This window comes from Homo sapiens, chromosome 17, assembly GCF_000001405.40.
Source record: "Homo sapiens chromosome 17, GRCh38.p14 Primary Assembly".
In the NCBI taxonomy this organism is placed as follows: domain Eukaryota; kingdom Metazoa; phylum Chordata; class Mammalia; order Primates; family Hominidae; genus Homo; species Homo sapiens.
The window spans coordinates 57392545-57409953 of NC_000017.11; the positions used below are offsets into that span (position 1 = coordinate 57392545).

A 17409-nucleotide genomic window follows, 5' to 3' on the forward strand; every position below is an offset into this window, starting at 1 on the left:
TTTAGAGGGAAGGCCAAATTGTAGCTTGAACCCTGGTGCTCTCTGGCTAATAGCTATATACAGGGAGGGAGAACTTGGAGGAACATTTGGGGTTATATTTGTAATTAGTTTCCTTTGAAGTTAAATTAATTTTAGCAATCGGCAACGTAAAATATTGTTATACCTTTTTCCAGTGGTCACCTGTGGGTGACCTGAGGCCTGTGGAATTGATGAGAGACGAAGCGGTGGGAATGGTGGGCAGGCACACTTTCTTGGACATGTGGGCTTATTTTAAGTCATTTTTGCATTCAGACTCTTGGCTTAGGGATCTCTCTGGCCTGTCATTTTTTTTTGACAGCTTTATTGAGATATAATTCAAATACCATATAATTCACTCATTTAAAATGGTGCAATTCAATGGATTTTAGTATATTCACAGATATGTGCACCCATCACCACAGTCAATTTTAGAGCATTTTTATCACCTCAAAAAGAAACCGCATACCCTTTAGCCATCACTCCCTCCCTCTCCCCTGGCTCTATGCAACTACTAATTTACCTGCTGTCTCTACAGATTTCCCTATTATGGACTTTCATTTGGATGGAATCAAATACAGGTTGAAGATCCCTAATCTGAAAATCCAAAATCCAGAATGCTCAAAAATCTGAAACTTTTTGAGTGCTGTCATGGTGCTCAAGGGAAATGCTCGTTGGAGCATTTCAGATTTTTGATTTTTGAATTAGAGATGCTGAACTATTGAGTATAATGCAAATATCCCAAAATCCAAAAACATTTGAAATCTGAAACACTTCCGGTTCCACACATTTCAGATAAGGGATACCCAAACTGTAATACGTGATGTTCTGTGTCTTGCTTGTTTCACTTGGCATAACGCTTTCAAGGTTCATCCATGTTGCAGCATGTGTCAGTACCTCGTTCCTTTTTACAGTTGAATAATATTCTATTTATGGATGTACCACATTTTGTTTATCCATTCGTCTGTTGATGGATATTTGGGTTGTTCTATTTTTTGGCTGTTGCTGCCATGAACACTTGTGTAAAAGTTTTTGGGTGGACATAGGTTTTAATTTCTCTTGGGCATATACTAAGGAGCGGAATTGCTGGATCATATGGTAACACTATGTTTGTTTATTTATTTATTTATTTATTTATTTTTGAGATGTTTCACTCTTGTCACCCAGGCTGGAGTGCAATGGCACGATCTTGGCTCACTGTAACCTCCGCCTCCCGGGTTCAAGTGATTCTCCTGCCTCAGCCTCCCAAGTAGCTGGGATTACAGACGTGCACCACCATGCCCAGCTAATTTTCGTATTTTTAGTAGAGATGGGGTTTTGCCATGTTGGCCAGGCTAGTCTCAAACTACTGACCTCAGGTGATCCACCTGCCTTGGCCTCCCAAGGTGCTGGGATTACAGGTGTGAGCCACCATGCCCAGCCTGGTAACACTATGTTTAATCATTTGTGGAGTTGACAGACAACGCTGTGTTTAATCATTTGTGGAGTTGCCAGACTGTTCCCAAAGCAGCTGCACTATTTTAAATTTCCACCAGGAAGATCTGGCTTGTCATTTTTGCATCTTTGCTGCAAAATTAGAAAAGGTGAAGACATACCTGCTCCTTATGGTGCCCTCAATCCTCCCCTTTTTCCAATTGTTTTTTTTCTTATGGAAAGAAAGAAGATGACACAGTAGCAAATGAAGGTGTTAGAGCAGTGAATAGGAAGGGCAAGATTTGGCTTCTCCATTTGTCACTCCATACGCTGTTTGATTTTGGATGCTTAACATTTCTGAGTCTTGGTTTCCTTATCTGTGGAAGAGTGGCTGGGACCTGCCATAAGATTGACATGAGGACTAAGTCAGGCAACTCATGGGAAGTGCATACCTCAGGCCTGGCCCACAGATGATCTACAGTGAGGGCAGAGAATTCTAGGCAGGGAAGCAGACACACCAGTAAAAGGGCTTTTCCATAGGGGAAAAGTATATCTCAACAGCTCAGATTTTATTAGGCAGGAGCCTGCCCTTGCGTAAACTCTGGCCTTACTTTCATCATGTGTTTTTATCAGAGGAACTTGAATCCTTGTGTCACCTTTGGGTTGCTTCTCCTTACAGGTGGCTTTGTCCTTCCCATTCTTCACCTCAAGACAGGTGTCATTTGACCATTTAAAGCAGAGATGTCCTCCCTGTGGCCTCTGCCAGTGGGCGTGACTTGCCTTGCTTGGGTGGGTGTGATGCCCTCTTCCCCCATAATTGATAGAGTTTCCATGTGGACTGTGGCTCTGCTGTCACCAAAAAAAGGTGAGGTCAAGGCAGTGGTGTCCTTGCGCTTCTCCCGAATAGATCTCTGTATTAGTTTTGTGGGACAGCTGTAACAAATTACCACACACTGAGTGGTTTAAGAAATAGAAATATAGTCTTTCATAGTTCAAGAGTTCAGAAGTCTGAAATCAAAGTGTCAGCAGGACTGGTTCCCTCTGGAGGCTCCATGGGAAAAACTGTCCCATACCTCTCTCCTAGCTTCTGGTGGTTGCCCGCAATTCTTGGTGTTCCTTGGTTTGCAGGCACATCACTCAAGGCCCTGCCTTCATCTGCACATGGCCACCTTCTTTCTGTGTCTGTTTGTCCTCTTCTTAGAAGGACACCCGTTACTGGATTTAGGGCTTACCCTATGTCCAGGATAACTTCATCTCAAGATTCTTAACTAATTACATCTGTAAAGACCCTGTTTCCAAATAAGGTCACTTTCTGAAATTCTAGATGGACACGAATTTTGGAGGAACTCTTTTTGATCCAACCCAGTCTCTTTTCCACATGTGATCCTAGAAACAGTTGGAGAAGATGCCCAATACCTGACCTGTGTTCTGACTTTGCAAGCTAAGTAAGTTTGCCACTGGATTCAGATGTGATGGTGATAGTAGTTATGGTAGTGATGAAGGTGGCAGGAGGGTGGCTCCGAGGGTGATGGTGGTAGAGTTGGTGGTGGCAAGAATGGTAGTATTGGCAGTTGTGAGGGTGAGGGAGGATGGGAAAAATATGGGGAGAAGTAGGGATTTTAGAGGGGAGGTACCTTGAATGAAACACCTTGGGGAATGGAGTCTTGGTGTTCGGGAGTTCTGTGATCTCAGGCAGCCCTGCTCGTGGGTCTGGCATACAAAGATTGGACTTAATTCTCAAATGCAGACTGATAGGAGAAGACTGCCACATTGGCAGATACATAGGATTTCATCCTGGATTCTGAATTTGGTGAGCACTTTTGTTCTTCAGTGTCACTGGACAGGATGGGGTAATAGACAGAGCCCTTGTCTGAGCCTGGGAAAGCTGTCCTCCTAACTACCTGCCTTGCCTTTAACTAGCATGCGAGTCATCTCATTGACTTGACTTTTCCATCCGCACAATGGGGAGGATGAACTAGAAGGTTTGCAGCATCCTACCCAGTGCTAGCATTTTAACATCTTTCCTGGGCTTTCTCCACCTTGGGGTTCCCACAGATGAGGCATCATCTGCAAACAAGCCTGTGTTCTTGGGGAGTGAAGATGGCTTACATTTTTTCATCATGGGGAATTTGAACTCTTTTAAGGAACATGATAATAGCCAGAGCTGATTTAATTCCTGTGGGCCTTTCTCATACTCATTTAAGGCTCTCCAGAGCCATTTCCTGCCTTTTCATGTATTTGTTCTGATTAAGAAATATTTGGTTTTTTTGGTGTTTGTTTTGTTTTTGTTTTCCTTGTGTGATAATGAATATCTTTAGGCCAGTGCTGTTGGAATTAAGTTTTCCCTTTAATCTCATTTTTAAAAGTAGTTTCTCTTTTCTAACCTCCCCTTACCCCACTCTGCCTTCAACACACACACAAAACACACACAGCACACACACCACACACACACACACACACACATCCCATTTGCTTTATCCTATTTTATAAAAATACAAACAGTGGTCCCATTCCTAGTGACCGTTTCTGATGCAAACACATTTTTTAAAAGGGAATTTTTTTTAACTCAAAAAGCCAGCTCTCTGTTTAGAGGCAGGGAGGTGGAGTGCTCTTTGCAGCTCTGGTTAGTACTGGCTTTGGCCAGTTCTTACGTGTAAACAGCAATTTTCCAAACGGGAATGGGTGCTGGGGTTTTCTTTATGGAGCCAAGGGGTATGTGGAGAGCAGCGGTGTTTAGTTAAATTACAGGTCTAGATGCAGAACTTTCCAGCAATGATTTGTGAGAGCCTGAACACTCCCCACTGCCCTTTGTGCACACAGGCAAGAGCGCACACACGCACACATGCACACGGACACCTCCTGCTTCCCAGAGTGACACCTTAAACCATAAAAGGAGGGGCGCCTGCTGGGAGAGGGGGCTGTCCCCACATGGTGCAAGGCTGTCGGGTAGGTATCTGGTGTCTCTAATGGTGGGAAGCACTCACATACCAAAATGTTATCCGCAACCTCTCCACTAAAACTCCAAGCAAAGGAAATTTAAGATCAATTTCCTAATGGATTTTGGACTGAGCTCCCTGAAACAGATGGGTAGCTCTCCATCTCAGTTCACTGTGGAGCTGAGTGGGGCCATCTGAGCATTTTGGGATGCAGTGGCTGCTTCCCTGTACCCTGTATGGGTACTCTACTGGTATTAAGGCTGCAGGTTAGGAAACAGTTACCTGAAGGGCCTATCCTAGGAGGAAAACAGGTGGCTCTCTCTTCACTGGGTAAAGAGGATTTTTGTTTTTTTATAACCCAAAAGGAGTATAGAACCCGGGGGCCTGCCTTGTCCAGCCTTCTCACTGTATCCAGGTTTAAAGTTCCAGGGATACTGAATGGTTCCTTAGGTAAATGGAAGCCAAGACTCAAGGAGTGGGACTGGAGTTGACCCAAACACACACCCATGCATGTGCATATACATGTGTGTGCACCCTCACGTGTCCATAGAAACCTTGCATAGTATTGATGGGAATTCGAGGACCTCCATTTAGTCCCACTGAAAGTCAGGACACAACATCCCAGCCCCATCCCCTTCCTGCCCTCCTCAGTAGCCATGGAGATGGCAAGGAAACCGAGAGAAGAATGTGTGACTCTAGGGTTCTCTGCCTCTCGTGTCCCTCACCAGAATGCAAATTGTGGAGCAGGCCACAGTCCATTTGGCAGTCATGCTGGCAGCATTCTCAAAGTAAATCACTTCCATTTCCCCCAGCATGCCCCTGGCGGGAGAGGTCACTGTGCACAGCCCTGTCGCCCCCATAGCTGTGCCCCCTTCTCCTAAAGCCGAGACACTGGTGAGCAGCTAACCAAGGGTTGCCCATGTTTCCACTGGCCTTTTCACGTTTGGAAGGTTTTGATTAAAACAGTTTCTTTCAGTGTTTGCTGAGGAGTGGGATCCATCACTGTATCTGAGCTGGTCCCTGGAGAGGATGTTTTAGTAACTTGGACACTTTGGTGCATTGTCTGGGACCTGGAATTTCTCATCCTTTTTTAAAAAAAGGTGTTTTAAAGGCCTTTTGGGGACTGTGTAGATTTATAGCTGAATGGCTGCCTCTGTGTTTAGGGCTCTGGCTAGGCAGGTTTATGGCTATAAGGCAACGGTGGAGGGTGTATGAAGAGATATTTTCATTTCACCAGTTATTGGGGAATGAACAATCTGTTGACTTCTGTTATTTGGAATGAAGACATGTTGTTTGTTGAATTCTCTGGGACCACATGAACGTTTGGAATATAGACAGGGCTGCTGTATACCCGCCCGACTCTAAACAGTGTATAAATGAGACCATGGGGTTCAGATTATAGTATGGCTCTCCAGAGTTTCTTCAAATTGAGAACTCTACTAGTGTATGTTGGTAGATCACGTTAGTGTTTCTTTACAGACATTTAATTACTTGGCTGGGGTAAGGGAAAAAAAGGAATGAAAAATCTAAAATTAAACTATTGGGAATCTCTGCCCATCTGAAAGCATGTAGAGATGCAGGAAAGTGTTTTTGAAATTATAGTGGAAGACAATAGGACAGTAAGAGATGCCTTTTCAAAGACACGTTTTTGTGTAATGTGTCTTTTCGCTGCGTGTTTGGTTCTGAGCTTGAAAGATGAGTCTAGTAACTGACTTTGGTCAGTTACAGTGACCATTTATTTAGCGACTACACAGTGCCCTGCTAGACACTTGGCATACATTACTTAATTTACTCCTGATAGGAACCTTGTATGGTAGGCTAATCATTATATCTTCATTTTATAGTGGATTACATTCCACATTCTATTAGAATATAAGCTCCGGCACCTCGCACTTAATGTATCTGTTGAATGAATACATTAGCAAAGTTAGATTAGTAAAATTTGGTGATTCATGAGTGTAGGGACAGATGTAAATCTGGAAAGGGCTAATCATTATATCTTCATTTTATAGTGGATTACATTCCACATTCTATTAGAATGTAAGCTCCAGCACCTCGCACTTAATGTATCTGTTGAATGAATACATTAGCAAAGTTAGATTAGTAAAATTTGGTGATTCATGAGTGTAGGGACAGATTTAAATCTGGAAAGGGCTTGATGGAATTTTGCCATTCAAGTGACCTCGATTTACCAGGGAGACTTAAGGAATGGGTGAGAAGGGAGATGGACAATAATGAGTGAGCATAAGAGGCCAACCAGGTCATGAGAGGTACTTGGAGCTCAGTGCTGTGCACAGTGGTGGGATCTTCATAGAATTTTTCACATGCACTATCTCATCTAATCCCCCATTCATCTGAAAAGAGGTGAAAAAACAGTCAATCCCAGCTTTAAACACATGAGCAAGCCACTGCTTGGTTCTAATGGGCAGAAGGAAGTAGGGAGTAGGTGGTATACTGAGTTGTTAGAATAATGTCCTCTTAAAACACTGTGGAACGTCCATGACAAGGATATTCAAGTTTGGGGTTAACCAGCAGGTTGTGGTGGCATGTGTCTTCTGTGGGAGCTACTAAGCTAAACAAGAGCTCCCTGGAGTCTACGAGCTCCAAGTTTGGGGTCAACCAGCAGGCTATGGTGGCATGTGTCTTCTGTGGGAGCTACTAAGCTAAAGCAAGAGCTCCCTGGAGTCTACGAGCTCCAAGTTTGGGGTCAACCAGCAGGCTATGGTGGCATGTGTCTTCTGTGGGAGCTACTAAGCTAAAGCAAGAGCTCCCTGGAGTCTGCAAGCCTCTCTGCATCATGGCTATGATGCTCATGGATTCATGGGAATCGGGCATTAGGTGGGACCTTGGAGCCCTGACCCAGCATCTCGTGCTGCAGAAAACTCATACCTAGGAGGAAGTGAGTCCTGCCCAGGGTCACACCCAGAGTTAGACCCAGGAGCTGGATTTCCAGTGCCCTACAGCACAGCCTGCCAGTAACCACTGTGCCCCCTGGTGTCACTCACCTCAGGCTCCTGTTGAGGTGGGTCGGTTCACTCATTCACTCAGCAGATACGCCGGGAGCCTCTGTGATGACTGACCCGGGCAGCCATGGCTCCTATGCTTCAGCATCCTACATCACATCGAGTTGCAGTAGAAACAGATGACATTGTGTGTTGATTATATGCCAACAAACTGGTCAGACCCTCACCCATCAAATTCTACAATTTTGTATTGTGACAGTAAAACTAAAATGGCACATAGCCTAAACTCAGTCTTTAGAACGAAATTTATTTTCTTGATTTTGGCTCCTACGTGTAAGATTTTGGTTCCCACTCTGAACAGTTAATGTCATTCTCCTTTTTTTTTTTTATTGTGACAGTAAAACTAAAATGGCACATAGCCTAAACTCAGTCTTTAGAAAGAAATTTTTCTTGATTTTTGGCTCCTACATGTAAGATTTTGGTCTCCACTCTGAGCAGTTAATGTCATTGAGCTTCCTACTCCTTTGGCTTTGGAGCTGGTAGGATTTGGAAATGTGGCCACATTTTTTCACACGTACATCTACAAAACATTCAGTGTTGGTTTCTATGTGCCTGACGCTGTGCCTGGCCTGGTGGAGGATTTGTAGAGGAGTCAAGAGCTTATTGTCTGGAGGAGGAAGTAACTTCACACAAGGTGGAGAGCAGTGAGTGTTAAGACAGGGATATGGAGACACTGTTAGGGGGTTTCAGAAAAGGGTGGACTAACTCCTGGCTGGATTGATAAATAACTATTTTGAATTTTGGAGAAAGGTGCTGGATCCTGGAGGAAGGTTACAACTTGCCGTAGTTAGGTTCAGGAGTGGAGAGGCACCCCAAGGAGAAGGACCTGCAGGAACGAAAGTGTAGGGATCTGGGGATTAGCTGGGCTTGACTGGGTGCAGGGTGAATCAAGATGAATCACAGGAAATCAGGAGGAGGAATCCTGGACAAAGCTTGCAGGGTGGTCTCCAGGTGCGAGGTCAGCGTCTGTGTTGCTTGCAGACGTATACCAGCACCAAGCACAAACAGCTCAGCGTAGACAGCCTGTGCGTACTTTTGAATCGTGTGCATTTCTTATTGACAGGTTTTGTGGATGGTTTCTGGGCAGCAGTTTTTATGCATTTGGGTCTGTTTTGTTCACGTCTCTTAGCTTTAAAATAGCTTGACATGTGATTTTTCTCTTTTTGCTAGTCCATCAGAATGAAGTTGCGTGTTGTGGCTAATGAGGTTCTGAAGTCTCTGTGTCTGTATGAAACTCAAGCTTTTAGGTTGCCATCTGAATGCCTGAGATATGCAGAGTGACTGTCTCTAGCATCCTTAGACATCTAAACGCCCGCGCCATGCAGCTTGAATATATCTAAAATTGCCTTCCTAGAGAAATGTGGAGAGCAGATTGTTTCAGCAGCCTCTTGAGCCCTGCTTTAGATAACCTGGTTAACCCATGCCTTTCTCTTGTCATTTCTTGCAGATGGTCACAAGAACAAAGAAAATATTTGTAGGCGGGTTATCTGCGAACACAGTAGTGGAAGATGTAAAGCAATATTTCGAGCAGTTTGGCAAGGTAAGCGCTGGATGGGGTTGGATGGCACATGCCAGAAGTAGCCTCATCAGTCCTAAGAAGAGGCTACCGTGGCCCCCGCCCCTGCTACAGCTGTGTCCTCAAGAACCTTGTCCTTGAACCTGGCCATCATGATTTAAGTGAAATTCAGCAGAAGCTGAGATGGAAGAGTCTGGCTTGCATTTGGTGTGATGTCCCACGTGCTGGCAGGAGCAGACAGAGTGGCCTTTTAGTGCAGTTTTGCGGGCATTTGCTGGCCACACGGGGCCTGGGCTGGGAGCTGGTGGTGACGGCAGCTGGGGAGGGATGTGGGGCTGTGACTCGCAGGGCAGGAGCTCCCATGGAAGCTGCTAGAGGCCTGCAGGTTGGTGCTGGGCTTCTCCCTTCTGTGCCTGTTTGGAAAATGCATTGAGAGCTGAGTCTCCCTGGGGCCCTTTGCAGCTGAACCCTCCCCTGTCAAATGCCCAAGGAGACTCGGAAACCATGCGAGGCCTGTACCTGTCAGCATTCTCTGACCTGAATGTCTGTGAGACAGCAGTAAAATTACCCCCTGGGCTCTGCTTCTGGAACAGGCTGGGACCAACCCAAGAGCCCCACAGCAGCCAGGAAACAGAGTGTGAGAAGGTGTGTGTATGATAGAGAGTCAGACCGACTGATAGGACATGTCACCGTGGGTGAGGTGTTTAATTCGGCCTCTTTCTAGTGGGTGAAGGGAGATGGTGCCTTGAGAGTGGGTTCTTGCTGAGGATGACACATTCCTCAGATGGCCCTGTTGCCTTAGGAGGGCTGACCCTTGTTGGCTTTTGTGTATACCACCCTCCTCTGGCCCCTGTGGAAATGGCAGGTTCAAGGAGGCTGCGTCCTGCATCTTTGAGTAATTGTGGACATCGCGTGGGAGCCCAGGTCTGGGACAGTCTCCTCCTGACAGGTTTGGGTCTTCCCTGCTGAAGGGCTGACATGGGAGAGAGCTGCTGAGGCGTCCTGAGAAGACACAGTGCCCGTGCTAAGCTCCATCACTTGTTTCCTCCCACGATGGGTGTCGTGCTTGCCATGGGTACAAAGGCACAGCCACCCACTGGCCAGGCTGAAGGTTCTGTGCTGTTGGTTTGCCCAGGGTGATAGGCAGCTATGACCCTGTCCCCAGGTGTGTCTGTTTGTGAACTACTGTCTGGGATGAGGGCCATGACCTTTATTCAGCCTCAAAATGGAGATGTTCTTGTCTCTGGTATTAATTTCTGCCTGGATAGGAGACCGTGCAACAAAGAGAAGCCAGCCTCCTCCAGCCCAGCCTTGCATTCTGAGTGGCTCTGAGCTGCCCTTCCAGGTTGGTTTTGAAAAGGCCTCCCCCATGGCCCTTTCTGGTATTGTCAGCTGGGGATGGATTCATTCTGGCTGGGTCTAAAGAATAGCCAAGTGTGTTGATGACTGTGTACGTTATAGCACTTCTCTCTTCCAGACTGATGTAAAGCAGTAAGGGGGATTTGTCCATCACCCAGCCCCACCCTGCCTAGGGAGAGGGATTGGAAATAATTAAATGAGACAGGTCCGGCTTGCATAATGGAAAGCTCTGGAGGGTGAGCCCTCTTTGCTATCTTTCTGCTTTTAAAACAAGTCCAGGGGTAGTGTTTGCAAACATGAAGTGGGATTTCTTTTTCGAGCCATAACCTGCCTTGGAATCTCATGGGCCTATTTGTGTCAGAAAAGTCGGTGCTGCCCAGATGGGCTTTTAGAGTATTCCAGACAGGCTTCTACTTGCCAACACATAGCACATCTCTGCACGTCCCCAACCCTTGGTTTCTTTCTGTCTCTCTCTCTCTCTTTCTTCCTTTCTGTATTTCTGTTTCTCTCTCTGTTGTTTTTCATTAACACTTATCATTGTGACCCAGTATGCCTCCAGTAAGACACACTGCAAGCTTTGGCCATGCCCACAGTGGCCACCATTGCTGCCCTTAGAACAGTTGTCCTTTTGTCTGAGAAGCAGTCACAAACCATCTTCCCTGGCATGGCACTCGCTGGGTCTGAAGCTGCCCAGTTAATTTTGCAGTAATGTTTGTGGACTCTGGCAGGATGTGCAGACTTATCAAGTGTTTTATTAAAAGACCAAAGAGGCTTTTGAATGTATCAAAGCCATAATGCTCTTCAATGCTCATATTTTAGTAGCTTTTTTTTCATACATAGGTTCTGTGCATTATTTGTGTCTGTCTGCAGAATGGCTTATTTCTCATTTGGCTGGTGGCTTGTGTTACTGTGTGTGTCCCCTTGGGCAGGACTCACCACCTCTCAGGATTCTGGCATAACTTATTTGAATCCAGAATGATCAAAGTCAGGGAGACTCTGCTGCTGGGCCTTGGGAGCACTACAATGATTAAATCCAGTGGTTGTGAAAGGAGGTAACAGGTAAATTGACAGACTGCCTCTCCCCTTCGGTACTTTATACTCTGGTTGAAGGAAACAGAATGAATGTGCACACACACACACACACACACACACACACACTTGCATGAAGTATATTCACACACATGTGTACACCCCCTGTGCACACACATTTCTAACTGTATGAAATTGTTTTTGACTCTCTTTAACCAACTGCAATTTAATGAGGTGTATGCGAGTGCAAAGTGTGGGATACTAGGCCAGGCCATTTACTCACATTATCTCATTTAATTTTTCTCTGGGGGGCTGGTAGTGGTATTCTCCATGTTGTAGACTGTTAAGTGGGGTCTTGATGGGATTGTCTCTTGGACTCAAGGTCACAGCTCTCCAGGAGGTAGAGCTGGGTGTGGACTCCCCCTCCAGGCTTGTCTGATAACAGCATCTGAACTCTGCACCCTGTGCCAACTGCTGATCAGTCCCCAAGATGGACTGACGATGGGCAAGATGCAAAGGACAGGAAGATATTGTGCCCTTCAGTGTGCCCCGGAGTGCTGGGGACCTGGACATTCATCACCTCATTTTACCTGTGCAGCAGATATTGGTATCCTCCAGTCTATTTGGCGAAGGTAGACAGTCAGGGCCAGGGAGGCTGAGTGTCAGCAGAGGTCACCCAGGTAAGACAGTGTAAGAGCCAGAATTCATACCCTACTTCCTTTTCCTCCAAGTCTAGAACTTTCCTTTCACAGCTTCCATGCAAGGTGTACCACTCTCTTTTTAGGTCTCCTTGCCGTCATTCCTCTCTCCTCTCCCTCATCCCATCCTGCCCGAGGTGGCAGCTTCTCCAACTGTTTATTTCAGGTGGCAATCAAGATGGGTAAGACTGCTATCAAGGGGCTGAGCTAAGGGAGTTTAAATATGTCATTACTGTAAGTGGAGTGGGTACAGAGTGACACACCGGGAGCTTTAAATAACTTAAATTGGAGGCTTGTAAACCCTTTTGTGTTTTTCTTCCACCTTCCTCCCAGAAAACACACCCCCTCTCCCCAAGGTTAGAGATGTTGTTACTTGTTTATATTTAAGATCAGGTCACGAAGCGTGGCCACTGGCATAAGGACTCTGCCAACTGAGGTTAACAGCTAACAGGTTGGCAGAATCCACACGTCACCATGAGCTACCCAGGGGTGAAGATGGCATTCCCACCCCTGGGTAGCTGTTCCGGGGTTGTCTGTCCTTGGAGAAGGGTAAGGCAGCAGATACTCCAGGGCTTCATGCTGGGCCTAACAGTGGACTGACCTCCCTGGGACAGCCTGATGGGTTGTTCCTTTGCTGGCCTCGGCTTCTCTTCTCAGGGAAGGGGTTGGAAAACTTAAAAAGGGCCAGATATTAAATATTTGCAGCTTTGCAATCCATGTAGTCCTTGTTGCAGCTACTCACTTCTGCTCTTGTAGGATGAAAGCAGCCATCACCAGCAGGTAAACAGATGCATGTAGTTGTGTGCCAATAAAACTTTATTTACAAAAACAGGTGATGAACCAGATTTGGTCTGTGGACCATAGTTTGCTGACCCCTGGACTGAATTATTCCTGAGGTTAGTTTTAAGCTTGAAAAGTCAGTAATGTAGAAAGTATTCAAACATTAATAGGATGGATAGATTATAATCTAAGGTATCTATAGGCTATAACCAAAATAATACGTTGTCAGTAGTAATAAGCATGGTATATAATCAGCAGTCTAAACCATGTTAGAGTTTATTTTGGGACTTCATGACGCAGGGACAGTGAAGGGATTCTTTATTTGGAAAAAGCCACTATTTATAAACTGGAACTTCATCCTATGAGTAAGAGCCAGAAAAACTGTTATAGTATTTCCATCTCCCTATTTCACCAGCTAGATGTAATTAATGACACTCGGAATTTTTGAGGTCCAGGTTTTACTATGAAGATCCTTTTACTGTGCGCTGTTTCTGAATTGGAGTTACTGGTGCTAAGCTTTCTAATGCATTTTACAATGTGCTTCTCAAGGGTGTCAAGTGAGATGGTTGGCAGATCTATTATGTAGGTGGTGAGGCTGATGTTGAGAAAGGTGAGGAAGTTCTCCAAGATCACTCAGCCCATGCTGAGGAGAGCCTGGATAGTCACTTGTTTGTGCACAACCTACCCTTCGCCTCTTTTTACTTTTATAAAGCCCCACCTCCCACTTTACCACCAAGCAGCATCTTTCTCAGAAGGAGCAGGTTTTGTTCATTTGTCAAAAACGTTGATATACAGTAATTTGTTTTACTGCCCTGGGTTTCTTAGTGGACGTTATCTGTGTTCCTGATTCCATACACACAGGAATGATGTATATAGGCCATTCCAAAAAATGGCAGGTAAATGATGCTCCAGATATGCCCGTGTAGACCCTGGCGACGAGGCGGCCTGTTCTGCACTGTTCTCCCGGCAGAGCCACCCGGAAGAGCCCAGCCTGGTAATTAAAATGCACTGGATCAAAGAAACTCCACACACACGGGCTTCCTCCTTCTCCCCTTCAGGCCCCTCCTTCAAGTACCGGTTTCTTAAATTCTCACTTATAGGATTTTGGAGATCAAAAAGAGGCCTTTAAACTTAATGAATTCTCCGCTTCGTCCCGGATGGAGCCGTTCCGCACCTTTCAGCTGTTCCCGGGAATGATAGGGCAGCTCAGTGCCGAGCTCGCTAGGTAATTCTCGCTTTCTAGAACTCCTGTGAAAGCAAAGCAGCCCGCATTTGGAGGCTTCCAATTATACTTCACATGGTGAACTGTGTAATTAGTTTGGAAGACTTATGCTTAGTCATTGGTTTATCCTAATCGGCTTTGGCTTTCCCCAACAACAAAGTGAGCTTATTTTGCTAAGCTGAAACGACTCTGCACCCTTTGTTCCTGCCTTTTATTGTCTCATTCCTTTCATTCTGTGTTACTGCCAAAGTTCTGTTTCATTAGGCCTACAAGTCATTTCCAATTCAGTGGGCTGCTACAATCCGGCCTTTATCACGGGCTGCTCTGGTTCCCATGTCCCTTCTGGGCCAGTGCCTGAGTTTGTGGTTTGACATGAGGGCTTTAACCCCTTCCTGTGCCAGCCCCTCACTGTGGTGGCCGGGAAGAAAAGGCCTTCCAGGAACCGGCGTGGAAAGTTACAGCTCTTGAGGTCTCGTCAAAGTGGGAGATCGCTGTGGAAACCAGGTGAAAGGGTCCTTGGAGCCCTTTGTGTCGGATTGGGGTTGTGTGGGGGCCCATAAAAGTTAACTTGAGCTCTGGAGAATGGTGTGTGAAAGCTTTTTAGGGGAAGAAAAAAAGAAAACAAGAGTGAATTGTTTTTTTTAATGTAATGAGACCTTCCCGTTTATCCGGCCAGCGTGGGCGATTGTGGGTGAGTGAGGCCCGAGGAAGCGCTGGGTGCCTGCGATCTCCCAGCTCCGGGGTTTTCTGTGCAGGTGCGAAGCTGCATTCATGGCCCCCACTCAGACACCCCTTTTGATACTGTATGTGTGAGGAGAGTCATACCTGGAATAAAAGTCTCATAAAGCCCTTTGAAATTTAAAAGGCATGAGATCTGTGAGAAGATAAATAAGCCTGAGAGTGGACTGTGATCCTCAGGTAGTGTTTTCTTGCTTTAAATGTGTGTCGTAGATAAACAGAGCTCTGTGCAGTGTGGTTCTCTCAGAGGAGGCTTGGAAAACAAAAGTCTTGTGTGTCCTTTGTGGACATCTGAGCTCCCGTGAGGCTTTGTCCTCTGAAGTGGTTCATGTAGGTGGGTTGCCCGGGGAGTGGTCAGCCTCCCGGGCCTCACCCTGTCCTCTGCTCCACCTTTTTCTGGAGAGCCTGGGTGTTGCCCTTCAGACCTTCTTCAACGACAATTGTAGGCTGGACCAGGAAGGACCATGCGCACGCTCTTCCCTGGCTGAAGGCTACTTTTGTGTTTAAATTTTCTTCCTCTAATAGCCCAGAACAAAGCCAACACTGTCCCCATGTTTTATTAATCTTCTGCCTGGTTTGTGTCAGCATCTCCCTCTGGAAGTGTGTCATAAGGGGAGGGGACTTTATTTGCCCCCTGACCCCTGGCCAAGCTGCTCAGTGGGAAACAGCACAGCGAGTAGACAGGAGAATCCTGCTTCCTCTGCCTCCTCCACCTTCTAGGCCAGGTGGCAGAGGCAAACAAACCTTACCCATGAGTAATATGATCCTGGGGCTTTGCAGGTAAACCCTCCTGCTAAACAACTTTGTGTTTTCCTGGTGAACTTTTCCTCCATAGACTGATTTCGGCTGAAGCCAGTAAGGTTGTCGAGTTCTAAAGATTGAGCACCCTAACGTTACTTCTCTTAAATTTTCGTATTTTTGCTTCAAAAAGGAGATTCTGAAATACTGGGTTTCTAGGAAAACTTCCCATTTCCCTCTTAGTATATAAAATATAGCCAGCTGTTGTTAGGCAAAGGCATCAGACATTATTATTGCTCGTTAACAGTGTTTTAAAATATACAAATAGAAAACTAGGATGCCTTCTGGGTAGCAAGCTGGGAAAACTTTGAGATTGTGCTAATCAAATGCCATGTGCATTTGCATAGTAGGTAGAGGAACAAGGCCGAATAGAAGAACAAGGCTCAAACTTCAGCTTTGCTGTTTGACCGCATTTCCTGGTATGATTTAGCTGTATTTACTTTTTCTGCTGCGGCAAGGAGAGGAGAGCCAGCGGTAGGGGAGCCCTTGGGCACAAAGGAGTTAATGAGCCCTGGGTGGGTAGGGGCGGGGGGGCGGTATGAAGTACTTCCACCAGCTCACCTTCCCAGAGTCCTCCTGGGCCCTCTGAAGACGTCACTTAACAATGGAGTTGTTAGTAGGAGAAAATAAAGCCTTTTTCTCCCTAGATGTAGTTCAGTGGGAACTGAAAGTGTACCAGAAATCATGGTTCAAGCTTGTGCCAGTGGGTGCAAGGGGTGGTTCTTATGGAGGAGAAAGCGCAGTTCATTTAGACTTGGCATTGAAATCGAACTCTGTTGTTCGGTGGAGTGAACATTGATATGGAGATTCCCACCCGCCCCCCACCTCCGTAGGATACCCCCTTACACAGGTCCTGTATGCTTTTCTTTTTCTTCCATTTTCTTTCTTTATTTTCTTCTTTTGTCCTCTTAGAAATAGTCTCTCTGTAGACCGGCCAGATTTGTCAAGTTACCACCCTCTAAATTTTTACAGCTCCGTATATTCAGACTTGGTATTTGTGAATTAGCTAAAAGTGGGCTGCCAATCTGTACTTTATTTACATTCGAAGCCATATTAGTGAGAGCCCCAGAAAAAAATGTTAATATGCAGGAAGAGGCAAAAGGGTTGAGTTTCTGACTGTTGCTAACCTCACCACTGCCTTTAAAACCAATCATGAGGCACACGGCTGATATTTAATAGCTTTTAGCTGATTATTTTTCTTCTCCTCCTCTTTCTTTTCTATCCAAGTTGACCTGGGTGTACTTGAGTGGAAATGAAGTCATCCAAATGCTGAATTAGAATAATCACAGGCCTCTAAGAATGAAATGGAAGCAGAGATTAAATGGCGGAGGGAAAGCCGGCATTAATAAGGACCAGGAAAACTTTGCATAAAATAAATAGGAGATGGAATAGATTGAATTTGTATATGCTGCTTCCATTTCTTCCTCCATTTTGTGTTGTCTTCCTAAGTCGAGTTACTGGCAAAGTGGGATTTGATTTGCCACAAGGACTCATACCTTCTGCAGCCTAGGTGATGGGCCTTTCTTCTTTGTGGGACGTTTGTGTGACCATTGATGTTTCCAGGAAGGAAGAATCTGATGGAGGGGCTGTTACCATGAAATGTTGATGATTACTTGGTACAAGTAGTGCGTGGGAGACAGATGAAAGAGTGTGGGGCACAGGCACAGTGGCTCACGCCTGTAATCCCAGCACTTTGGGGGGCCAAGGCGGGCGAATCATGAGGTCAGGAGTTCGAGACCAGCCTGGCCAACATGGTGAAACCCTGTCTCTACTAAAAATACAAAAAATTAACTGAGCGTGGTGGTGGGCACCTGTAATCCCAGCTACTCGGGAGGTTGAGGCAGGAGAATCTCTTGAACCCAGGAGGTGGAGGTTGCAGTGA

At 45.8% G+C, this 17409-nt stretch overlaps 1 protein-coding gene across 10 annotated transcripts in view, besides 1 other annotated feature; it reads left to right on the forward strand.

Moving 5' to 3' along the window:
• The window catches only part of MSI2 (musashi RNA binding protein 2), a 445731-nt gene that overhangs the window by 136694 nt on the left and 291628 nt on the right, over positions 1-17409 (forward strand). For 9 of the 10 annotated variants that reach the window (NM_001322250.2, XM_047435313.1, XM_047435314.1 and 6 more), the window contains one exon: positions 8835-8927. The exons of the other annotated variant lie outside the window; for it this stretch is intronic. In NM_001322250.2, coding sequence (NP_001309179.1) covers positions 8835-8927 — 93 coding nt within the window. The remainder of the gene's footprint in view (positions 1-8834; positions 8928-17409) is intronic. 10 annotated transcript variants of the gene reach the window in all.
• Positions 8720-9230: an enhancer, noted in NCBI's record as "H3K27ac-H3K4me1 hESC enhancer chr17:55478625-55479135 (GRCh37/hg19 assembly coordinates)". NCBI's record gives its function as "activates a minimal SCP1, AML or CMV promoter by ChIP-STARR-seq in primed H9 embryonic stem cells {active_cell/tissue: H9 hESC(primed)}" and the evidence as "EXISTENCE:reporter gene assay evidence [ECO:0000049][PMID:30033119]".